The 12296-nt window shown below is 38.4% G+C and overlaps 1 protein-coding gene across 6 annotated transcripts in view; it reads left to right on the forward strand.

The window, feature by feature from the left end:
- API5 (apoptosis inhibitor 5) overlaps positions 1–12296 on the forward strand; it is a 32534-nt gene that overhangs the window by 1655 nt on the left and 18583 nt on the right. For 3 of the 6 annotated variants that reach the window (XM_006718359.5, NM_001142930.2, NM_006595.4), the window contains exons 2-6: positions 4990–5151; positions 7171–7264; positions 7761–7826; positions 8335–8486; positions 9780–9986. In XM_006718359.5, the coding sequence (XP_006718422.1) occupies positions 4990–5151; positions 7171–7264; positions 7761–7826; positions 8335–8486; positions 9780–9986 (681 nt within the window). Of the gene's footprint in view, positions 1–4770; positions 4833–4989; positions 5152–7170; positions 7265–7760; positions 7827–8334; positions 8487–9779; positions 9987–12296 lie in introns of all 6 variants that reach the window. The other 3 variants (NR_024625.2, NM_001142931.2, NM_001243747.2) reach the window with 3 other exon arrangements.

The following is a 12296-nucleotide window of genomic DNA, read 5'->3' on the forward strand; positions in this document are numbered from 1 at the left end:
GAAATAGCAAATGATTTTTTTTCCTTCATTCCCTGTCAGTAGGGAATTTCACTTTTATCAGTAAGAAATGTATACGGATGTTCTGCTGTACATGTGGATAGAGTGTGTAGGTCGGTTGTGAAGGAGGAATATTCTGTTCATTAAGAAGGTAAAAACTGCCAGGCACGGTGGCTCACGCCTGTAATCCCAATTCTTTAAGGGGCGTGGATGGGCAGATCAGTTGAGATCAGGAGTTCGAGACCAGCCTGGCCAACATGGTGAACCCCCATCTCTACTAAAAATACAAAAATTAGCCAGGCGTGGTGGCATGCGCCTGAAGTCCCAGCTATTTGGGAGGCTGAGGCAGGACAATTGCTTGAACCCGGAGGGTGGAGGTTCCTGTGAGCTGATATCGGGCCACTGCACTCCAGCCTGGGCAACAGAGCAAGACTCCATCTCAAACAAAAAATTAAAAAAAAAAAAAGATACAAACTATGTGTGGTCAATCAGTTTGAATTTGTTGTTCCTAAAAAGAACTAGTAGTGAAGATATTCTCAATCGTATAATTTATCTGTGACTTAGTTGGGTAACTTTGTAGCAAATTGTTCTACCTACGTTAGACTTTGTTGCATATCAGTAGGGGGATAGGGTGAAAGCTACAACAGTGGTTGTGTCAGGAATCCTTCTAAGAAACCTTTGAAACCGTATACATAATGCTGTCCATCCCCTACTCTAATTTTGAGAGTTGCTTGCATTTCCTTCTCATGTCATCTTTATAAAAACCAGATTGAATTGAGAGTTCTCCCCAAGGGGTCAAAATGTCTTTCACAGCAAAAATCTACTCTTTATTTAGTAAGGGTACTTTAGAGACAAGTTTGTGAAAAATGAAAAAGGATACCTTTGTCTACACTTTAATGAGGACTCCATGCTTTATTCCGTACATTTCACCTACCATGTACCACACACCCGGCTGGACACTGAAATTTAACACAATTCTCTGTAGGTTATGGGTGATCAATGCGTTCTGTATTGACAACTGTCAAGCAACTATTTAAACAGTATCTCTGCATAATGAGATGTAGTGGTTAGCTCAGGCAGCTCAAATATTGTGAATTGTAGGAAAACCGAAGATAATGCCTACTAATTCTGCTCTGTTGGGTTATACTTCTCCCCTTTTAGATAAAATGCCTAAAATCACTTACTAAAAAAGACAGTAGGTTTTAGGATATTGCTTGTAATTTTAACTAACAAAGGCAAAAGCCACCTTAGTAGAGAGGACACCATTTCACTTGTTTTTAAGGAGAGAAAACCGTGTTCATGTTCTTGATGTAGCAAAGCCTGATTTTCATGTCAACTTATGAGAGATTTATGATCAGTACTAAGTTTCCTGGCAAATACCTGTCTGGATACTTCTGAGACTGCATTCAAGTTTGTCAGTCTTGACTTCCTTCTAACTTTTACTTTGATTATCAACCTTTACCAGAGAGGTGAGCACTACAGGTGTTCTGATTGCTGCCACTACAGACTATTCCCTCCCCATTATTGTCAATACTCCTTTCAGAGTAGTGCCTTCTAAATATATAAGGGTAAACTTACAAGCCGTCTGAGGTTTTATCGGCTAATTTCCCCAAAGCAGATCAAATCCTCTTTTTGAACCCCTTGGTACGATGTACTTACTAATAATGCTTCAGACTTGTATTTTATTTTATTTATTTCTGTACTTAAATTATAACGTCTCAAGGGTTAAATCCTTTTATGTATTTATTTATTTATTTATTTATTGCTTCTCTTCTTGCACTGTACCTTGCCCTTCAGTAAGCATTTCTTTTTCATAGTTGAAGAAATGTATTGGAAGAAGGAACAGAGAAACCATTTACAAAAGAAAAGAAAAACCATTTACACAGATTATCTCTAATGGATAAAGGGAACTTTATCATACACACACACATACATACATATATGAGCATGTATATTCTAATAAGCAAACTGCAGATGACAAATTCTAAGTGCAGAATTATTTAATACCTCAAATCTTCCAGTCCTATCATCTTCTCATGTAACTGCCATGTTCTGCCTATGCGTTCATCCTGCCTTTCCCCCACTCTGCCTCTGCTACTCCTTCAGGTCTCACTCTTCTCTTGTGTGCTCCTTTACCTTTCTGATCTCCTTTTCCACTGTACTCTGCCCAGGGCTCCTGACTAGCCATAATAGAGCAAGCTGTGGCCCACCATTATTTAAAATTCTGTTTCAAATTATTATGAATTTACTTACTTTAAATATAGATACTTAATTTTATATTATGTAGTCAAAATCTTAAAAGTTAAAAAATGTATCCGACACCTGTTAAAGGACCATGGCAGTGGGGCTGATTAGATCTGTATAATGCTGAAACCCTGATTCCTCCTGTTCTCTCAATCATTGAGTATACTAGCTTTGCAGGGTTGGCGTGTAGGCTTCTTGGACTTTTATTTCATGAAATAACCACTCTTGTAGTAGGGTTTTTTGTATGATTAAGCTAAAACCACTGACCAACCAAGTTCGTAATCCCTCAAAAATATGTGGAAATATTTATTTCACTTCTCTGAGCCCTAGTTTCCTCATCTAAAAGATAAGAATAGTAGTAACACCTATTGTGATATAGACAAGGAATCACTCAGTCCCTGGTAGACCTTCAATAAATATTGTTAATGATTCCTTTTTATTTGATTCCAGATTTAATATTTTTTTCTTGGCAAAAGGAAGTTTTGTTTTAAGCAGGGTTTTTTTTTTTTCATTTAATTTTGGACAGTGTAAGGAGTTTCTTCAAATGGCTTTATGAGTAAGTTTGAGTTAAAGAAAATTAGATTTGTGATACCCTGCAAAAAGTAAGGGTGTCAGAACAAACTTTGATTTTATGAAGCCTGCCTAGAAGTCTGAGGCAAACCACAGGAATGTAAAGTGGTAGAGAAGTCAGCATGATTTCTTTTTTTAATGTTTGCGGTGAAAAGTATGTCATATACCTTTCTTTCTTTGAGACAGGGTCTTGCTCTGTCAGGCTGGAGTGCAGTGGCGCGACCACAGCTTACCACAGCCTCTAACTCCTGGGCGCGACCATGGCTTACCACAGCCTTTATCGCCTGGGCTCAAGTGATTCTCCTCCCTCAGCCTCTCCAGTAGCTGGGACTGCAAGCACACACCACCATGCCTGGTTAATTTTATATTTTTTGGAGAGACAGGGTCTTGATGTGTTTATAATACACTTTTCAGTGATGACTCCTGAAGACTCATATATCTGCATTTCATGAAGAAGTTAACCTTATTCACAGAAATTTCTGTTATTTGGGAGTTGTTCTGTAACTTTGCATCCTGCTTTATTTTTTCACTTAACATAGCATTATCAACAAAAAAGAATCACTGTAAAATAAATTTGGTAATTCTGTAGTTCATTGGATATTTATTGGTCATTCCCCGCTTGATGGCATGAAGTAAGCTCATGTGTCTAAAGCACTTAGAACACTCCTTATACATAATAAATACTATACTGTGTATATGTTTGGTCAAGATTATAATTTTTAAGTTGTTTTTCCAGTTACTAAGTTTTATTCATATGTCCAAACAATATATATGTGTAGTCTTTCTGTATTTGTTACTGTTATTTACCATCTTTATCAGTGTCATTTCATAAAAGGACTGGTTTGGAGGCAAGTACTTAAGGAGGATTGGGAACTTATTGATTCCTCCCATTATGAGTATTTGAGGGAGAGCACCTGTGATTTTTTTTTTTAAGGAAACATGAGCTTTGAGTGTATTGTTCCAATAAAAGGTTTAAACATGTGACATTAGAGTCCGTCTTAATCCAAAATTGTCTGGCTATATGGAGTGAATTGTCATGGCTTTCATATACTGCTATGAGGTAAAATTAAACTGCACTTCCTAACATTGCTGGAATTGCTAAATTTCTGGAATGTATTCCCTTCACCTTCTTCAAGGTGCTAATTAGAAACAGGTAAATTTTTGTTTAAGTAAATACAGTGCAATTCTTTGTGAATTCTATGGTATTCATGATGATTTATTTATTTACTTGTTTAAGATAGAGTCTCATTCTGTCACCCAATCTGGAATGCAGTGGTGCGATCTCAGCTCAGTGCAACCTCTGCCTCCTGGGTTCAAGCGATTCTCCTGCCTCAGCCTCCTGAGGAGCTGGGATTACAAATGTCTGCCACCACACCCAGTTAATTTTTGTATTTTTAGAGAGAGGGAGTTTCACCATGTTGGGCAGGCTGGTCTGGAACTCCTGAGCTCAAGTGATTGCCCACCTCGGCCTCCCAAAGTGTTGAGATTACAGGCATGAGCCACCACACCTGGCCATCATTACAATTGTTTTGTTTGTTTGTTTGTTTTGTTTTGTTTTGTTTTTTGGAGACAGAGTCTCACTCTGTCATCCAGGCTGGAGTGCAGTAGTACGATCTCAGCTCACTGCAACCTCCGCTTCCCGGACTCAAGCAATTCTCCTGCCTCAGCCTCCCGAGTAGCCGGGATTACAGGCGCACACCACCACGCCTGGCTAATTTTTGTGTTTTAGTAGAGACGGGGTTTAACCATGTTGGCCAAGCTAGTCTTGAACTCCTGACCTCAGGTGATCCACCCACCTTGGCCTCCCAAGGTGCTGGGATTACAGGCGTGAGCCACCACGCCTGGCCCATTACAAATTTTTTAAGCATGATACAGTCACATGGCCAGAGTTAATAATCACTAGAATGAAGAAGTATTGGCATATTAACAAACACATTTGCTTTTTCCACTTAAAATTAGACTCATCCATCTCCCCCAACTCAAAAATGAAACAAAGATGGAGGGAGAACGGAATTGGGAAGGTAAGTGTCAGTTTGAGCAGTAAACCTCCCAAAATCAGCTTTATTTCTTAGCCTGTGTAAAAATTTAAAGCACACTCTAACATGTTTGTTATGGTCTTTTACTTTGCTTCCCATCCTTCAAAATCATGTGTCTTTCCTGCTTTATTTTTTATTTCAGCATAAAGATGCCTATCAAGTGATATTGGATGGTGTGAAAGGTGGTACTAAGGAAAAGCGATTAGCAGCTCAATTTATTCCGAAATTCTTTAAGCATTTTCCAGAATTGGCTGATTCTGCTATCAATGCACAGTTAGACCTCTGTGAGGATGAAGATGTATCTGTAAGTTTATGAATGACACTTCATAGCAATCTTTCAGATGTTTCTGTATGTGGCTGATACAATTGGAGTAGCAATCTGATATATCAGAGTACACAATAAAATACTATGGTATGGTCTGGCATGGCATCACACCCAGGCTTAAATTTACATATGATAAAGTGTATTAGCCTTTTTCAACACCTTTAAATTATGAAAAATGCATAGAATCTCAAAATACTTAGTTTCGCTTATCATTTATCCACTGTTAAAAATGGGTTGTGGCTCACATCTTGTTTCATAGATTGTTATTCATTGTGCATATGAAATTAGACTGTTTTTAATCAATTTGTGCTTACTTGGATATTTAAATTATTAAGTGTTATATCATAAAATGTAGTTTCACTACCCTTATATATTTTGCATGGCAGAAAAATGGTATGTGTAATAAGTGAATAGGATTACTAGATTAAAAAGAAATAGTTTTTGTTTTTTGGTTTTTGGGGGGTTTTTTGGAACAGAATTAACCAGTAATATTTCTGGCTGCTGACACAGGTTCCTAAGAATATTCAGCCGTTAGCTCTTGTCTTTTCAGATGAAACAGCGAATTGCCAACATTTCATGCAGAATTTGCTGGATATAAACCCTATACTTTTTTTGCTTTTTTAATAGAAACAGGGTTTCACTCTGTTGCCTAGACCAGAGTGCAGTTGCACATCCATAGCTCACTGCAGCCTTGAACTCCTGGGTTCATGCATTTTTTTCCACTTTAGCCTCCCAAGCAGCACAGACCACCGTTCCCAGCTGATTTTTAATTTTTTTGTAGGGTCTTGCCATGTTGTCCAGGCTGGTCTCAAACTCCTGGCCTCAAGCTATCCTCCCACCTTGGCCTTCTGAAGCATTGGGATTACAGGCGTGAGCCACCTCATCTGGCCCGCTGTACATATTTTATGTAAAAATCGAATAAGCCAAGATCAGTATTTGGAATTAAACATGCAGAATATAGCCACAAATGTTGTATTTAGTAGTCAATACTGAAAATTCTAAAGTAAACAGTTACTAGGTATAACATTGCCACAGTAGCCATTTTTTAGGAATACTATATTATAAGCCCATAGGTAGTAAAAACCTAACAGTTGCATATAATTAGCATGTAAATAGTTGTTTATAATCTCAAATCTGTCTCCTTCAGCGAGACATTGTTAACATCCCTTTTTATATTTTATTCTGTGTAACTTGAAGATTAAATTGGAGCAAATTCTCTCTTTTTTTTTTTTTTTTTTTTTGAGAAGGAGCCTTACTCTATTGGCCAGGCTGGAGTGCGGTGGTGCAATCTTGGCTCACTGCAACCTCCGCCTCCCTGGTTCAAGCGATTCTTCTGTCTTAGCCTCCCAAGTAGCTGGGACTATAGGCGTGTGCCACCACGCCTGGCTAATTTTTGTATTTTTAGTACGGACAGGGTTTCACCATATTGGCAAGGCTGGTCTCAAACTCCTGACCTCGTGATCCACCTGCTTCAGCCTCCCAAAGTGCTGGGATTACAGGTGTGAGCCACCACGCCCGGCCAATTGGAGCAAATTCTTTTTAAAACTGCTAGAAATCTGCTGTTTCATATTTTTGTGACTCGTATGCCCCTAATGATGGCTTCTCTGTGGTTTTAGTTTTCTTAAAAAGTTGAGTTTGCAGCTGGGCATGGTGACTCATGCCTGTAATCCCAACACTTTGGGAGGCTGAGGTGGGAAGATCACTTGAGCCCAGTAGTTCGAGAACAGCCTGGGCAACATAGGGAAATCCGCCTTTAAAATTAGCCAGGCGTGGAGGCTTGCGTCTATAGTCCTAGCTACTAGGGAGGCTAAGGCAAGAGGCTCTCTTGAGCCTAGAAGGTCAAGGCTACATTGAGCCATGGTTGCACCACTGCACTCCAACCTGGGCAACAGAGCAATACCTTGTCTTTAAAAAAAAAAAAAAGAAAGAAAAGAAAAAGCTGTTTGTTATTTTAAAGGTGATAGTATTTGGTTAATTTTTGTTTGAAATCATGCCCAGATTCGACGTCAAGCAATTAAAGAACTGCCTCAATTTGCCACTGGAGAAAATCTTCCTCGAGTGGCAGATATACTAACGCAACTTTTGCAGACAGGTAAGGGATTTTATTATTACCTTTTTCTCTAAATATATATCTTCTTTCTGAAATGTTGACTCTGTTTTTAGGTTTTAAATGGGGTGCAGGAGAGCTGGAGGTCCTACCTCTGATAGAGATTAAATTTCCTACTTTCATTCAGTAGTTAAAGTGTAATGATTTCTGGTTATCTAATTCCTGGTGTTGTTTTGTTTTTAATTCCGTTATGAAGGTGTAATGACTAGATTCTTTTGGGCATTTTGATATATCATAATTTTTCCCCCAATTTCCTGTAGTTTCATAATTGTAGCATCTTAATAAAAGTTTTTCAGGCATGCCAGATCGGGTTCTCAACTTACAAGGAACACGTATCTTTTTGGTACTTGAGGGAATGGCTTAAGTTATAAGTTTCCTGTCAATGTAACCTTGAGAAACTAAGTTGAATCAAGTTTGAAACTGAAGCAGATGATATTTTAAATTTGTTTTATATTCATTATGCCACTTTTTCTTTATCCAGATGACTCTGCAGAATTTAACCTAGTGAACAATGCCCTATTAAGTATATTTAAAATGGATGCAAAAGGTAAGGCCAGTTCTTATTCTGAATTGTGTTTGATGTCTTACAGAATCACAAAGTTAGGTGTTACTCATTAAGAATAAACTCTAGGGTTTACCCAGAGTTCTATTTCATAAAAATTCTAAGTATTGTGAAAAAAGTCTCCTTAGGTCAAGATGTTTATGACTAGAAAAACGAGCAGAAATAACTGCAAAAACAGATCACGTTTTTCCATTAGAAATCTGTTGGAAGAACTCCTTTTGACACTTTCAAGAAATTCTTCCAAAATACCTGGGTTTTATTATTAGTAATGATAAAAAAGGAAAGTCATGCTTAAGCTGACTATGTCTTCATGAAGAAAGCACTCTTATGGTTCAGGCTGTAGAAATTTCAGACTACTTTTAACTAGTAATGAGGATGATATTTGGGAAGTTCATTAACTTATTTGAGAAGAAATACTATAAATTGAGTTAAATGGGAAAACACCATTACACTATAGAATTGACTTGCTACAGGCAACTATTTTGTTTTGCAGGGACTTTAGGTGGGTTGTTCAGCCAAATACTTCAAGGAGAGGACATTGTTAGAGAACGAGCAATTAAATTCCTTTCTACAAAACTTAAGACTTTACCAGATGAAGTCTTAACAAAGGAAGTGGAAGAGCTTATACTAACTGAATCCAAAAAGGTGAGCTTTGGTCTTCATTTGGTGGAAATTCTCTAAAGCAAAAGAGCATACTTGACATTGGCAGTATTCGTCAATGTTATGTGTGGCTTGTGTATAAAATGATATATCATATATCCCATTGGAACCACCATAGAACTTCTAAGTTTTTCTTAGATTGAATTTAGCACTTTTGTCGGTGGTAATGATGAATCAATTTGGTAATTTAAAGGAATCTGATTACATTTAAACTTTTCGTGGTAGTGTCCTTAAAATTTGTGCAACCTCTGCAAATCACCTCCTTCAGGAAACTTTCCCTAAGTCCTACCCCTCCCTTCCATTTTAGGATACTCTCTCATAGTATTCTAAATTATTTCAAAATGAAACATCACATCAAAATGACCTGTTGTCACCTTAGCCCTTGACACTATCTGCTCTTCAAGGGTGAGACCATGCTTGTCTTTGCTCCCAGCATCTAGCATAGTTGTAGACGCTAAGATTGGCAAGGTGCGTCACAATTAACTTTTCACTCATCTTAATGTGCCAAAGTTTGGGAATAGTTTACTTTTTTAATATGTTACAGAAGATTCAGCATTTTATCTAAAGCATGTGATCACTGTTATGGTTCAGGCTTTAGAAATTTCAGACTACTACTACCCACTTCCTTATTGATAAGATTATTTTTCAGTGAGAAAAAAGTAGATCTTTAGCTGGGAGTATCAGACTATTTTACCTATGCCCCAGCTTGTAATCTGGTAGAGTATGTCGTGATTGTGAGCTTTTTTGGTCCATGAATAGAAAGATTTAGACCCACTGATATGGAAGATTTAACATGAGACTTGCAAGGTGACCTATTTTGTATACAACAATTACCATATTAATATGAATTAGGCTGCTTTTAAATATAGGATACAATCTGATTCAACAGTTTGCTACAGAATTTTTCCAACCATTTTTTAAAGTCACTCCCCTAAATAGCCAATTTTTTTAATTTTTTTTTTTTCTTAACTGCTCTCCCATGAAATTTTAATGCCACATATACACTGTATATCTGTTTATGGTACTACATGTATATCTGTGCTTTGTACGTAAAAAAGTAACATTTTCTAAGAACCAATTTTTGCCCCCTTGGAGAATGCGTGGTTTACACTGAAGCTCAATTGACTGAAGCTAGAAGTTGCCTTTTCGTCAGTATTTTGGAAGCATTAATAACAAACTGACTTTAGTAACTGAAATAAATTAGCTATTCTCTTTCAGTGTTGATCTGTCCCATTCAAATGATGAACATACTCTTATTCTGAATTGTCTCTTTTCCAGGTCCTAGAAGATGTGACTGGTGAAGAATTTGTTCTATTTATGAAGATACTGTCTGGGTTAAAAAGCTTACAGACAGTGAGTGGAAGACAGCAACTTGTAGAGTTGGTGGCTGAACAGGCCGACCTAGAACAGACCTTCAATCCCTCGGATCCTGACTGTGTGGACAGGCTCTTACAGTGCACTCGGCAGGCAGTACCCCTCTTCTCTGTGAGCTCTTTATTTTTACACACCCGGTATTAGCTATATATATATTTCCATAAATACTCACTTTAACATTCCCCTTAAACCTTTCCAGTAGTGTCCCTTATCTGAAATGCTTGCTTGGAACCAGAAGTGTATTCAGATTTTTGAATATTTGCATTGTGCCTGGTTGAGCATCCCTAATTCAAAAATCCAAAACCTGAAATGCTTTAATGAGCATTTCCTTTGAGCGTGATGTTTGAGCATCACATTGGTGCTCAAAAAGTTTTGGATTTTGAAGCATTTCAGATTTGGGATTTTCAGATGAGGGATGCTTGGTCTGTGTTTATGAAGGCCACAGTGGTGTTGGTGAGAACCCAAAGCAGCAAGAAACTTTCTTGAAAGAAAGAATTTTTTTTTTCCTTTGAGACAGAGTCTTGCCCTGTCACTCATGCTGGAGTGCAGTGGCACGATCTTGGCTTACTGCAGCTTCTACCTCCCAGGCTCAAGCCTTCCTTCCATCTCAGCCTCCCAAGTAGCTGCTACTACAGTCATGCACTATCACACTCGGCTAATTTTTGTGTTTTTTGTAGAGACGGGGCTTCCCCATGTTGCCCATACTAGTCTTGAACTCCTGAGCTGAAGCAGTCTGCCCACCTTGGCCTCCCAAAGTGCTGGGATTACAGGTGTGAGCCACCATGAGTGGCCAATAAATTTTTTTTAAGTCTTCCTAGAGACTTTTTTTGAAAGTCATGAGAATTTTGCATTCTGTCTCAGGCTTTGTGTTTCCTGAGGCCATGCATCTTCTGGGATGTGCATACATTCATTTGAAAAACACAATTTAAAGGAACTATCCTAGAGCAGGCGTGGTGGCCCGTCCCTGTAATCCCAATCCCAGCACTTTGTGAGCCAAGGTGGGAGTATCACTTGAGGCTGAGTTCAAGACCAGCCTGGGCAACAGAGCAAGACCTTGTCTCTACAAAAAAAATTAAGTAATAGAATTATCCCTTTTGAGAAATGTGCAGTCTGAAAATCCAACACTAAAAGATGTCCACAATTCATTTATTTATTTATTTATTTATTTATGAGACAGAGTCTCGCTCCATCCCCCAGGCTGGAGTGCAGTGGCATGATCTTGGCTGACTGCAACCTCCACCTCCCAGATTCAAGCAATTCTCGTGCCTCAACTTCCCGAGTAGCTGGGATTACAGGCAAGCACCACCACACCCAGCTGATTTTTTGTATTTTTAGTAGGGATGGGGTTTTGCCATGTTGCCCAGGCTGCTCTCGCACTCCTGAGTTCAGGCAATCCACCTGCCTCAGCCTCCCAAAGTGCTAGGATTACAGGCATGAGCCACCATGCCTGGCCATGCCCCAAATTTGACCAGAGAATCAAGGAAGAGATCAAAATGTATAGATGTTCCAATGCTCCAGATGACTTTGCAGTAAAGTATATAAGGGGTCTTCAAAAAGTTCCTGGAAAATGCATATTATGAAAGAAAAAAAAAAAACTACGCATGGATTACAAAACATTTTTCACCAAAATAAACTTGTACTTATAACATGTCTGAACAGGATATAGTTTGAGGAACTAAGAAGGGTCAGACATCAGTTTGAAAAGAGCACCTATCAGAGCAACATGAATTCTGCTAAAGTTGAAGCAAGAACAAATATCGAATTTATGGTGAAGCTTGGTGGAAGAATAGTGAAATCATTGATGCTTTATGAAAAGTTTATGGAGACAATGTCCCCAAAGAAATCAACAGTTTACAAATGGATCACTCATTTTAAGAAGGGACAAGACAACGTCAAAGCCCATTGCAGCAGATCAATTTGCGAGGAAAAATTTAATCTTGTTTATGCCCTAAATGAAGAAGACCGATGATTAATAGCAGAAACAATAGCCAACATCATCGATATCTCAGTTGGTTCAGCTTATTCAATTCCGACTGAAAAATTGAAGTTTAACAAACTTCCTACTGATGAGTGTCAAAACCATTGCACTCAGATTAGCTGCAGACAAGAACAGAGCTTTCAGTGGAAATTGTAAACAAGTGGGATCAAGATCCTGAAGCATGTCTTTGAAGAATGGGAACAGGAGGTGAAACATGGCTTTAGCAGTGCAATTCTGAAGACAAAACACAGTCAAAGCAATGGCTGCCAGGAAGTGAAAAGGGCCCAGTCCAAGCAAAAAGAGACCAGTTAAGAGGAAGGGCTATGGCAGTTTTTTGGGATGCTCAAGACATTTTGCTGGTTGACATTCTGGAGGGCTAAAGAATAATGTCTGCTTATTATGAGCTTGTTTTGAGAAAGTTGGCCAAAGATTGAGCAGGAAAA

This window comes from Homo sapiens, chromosome 11 (assembly GCF_000001405.40).
Source record: "Homo sapiens chromosome 11, GRCh38.p14 Primary Assembly".
NCBI lineage: Eukaryota > Metazoa > Chordata > Mammalia > Primates > Hominidae > Homo > Homo sapiens.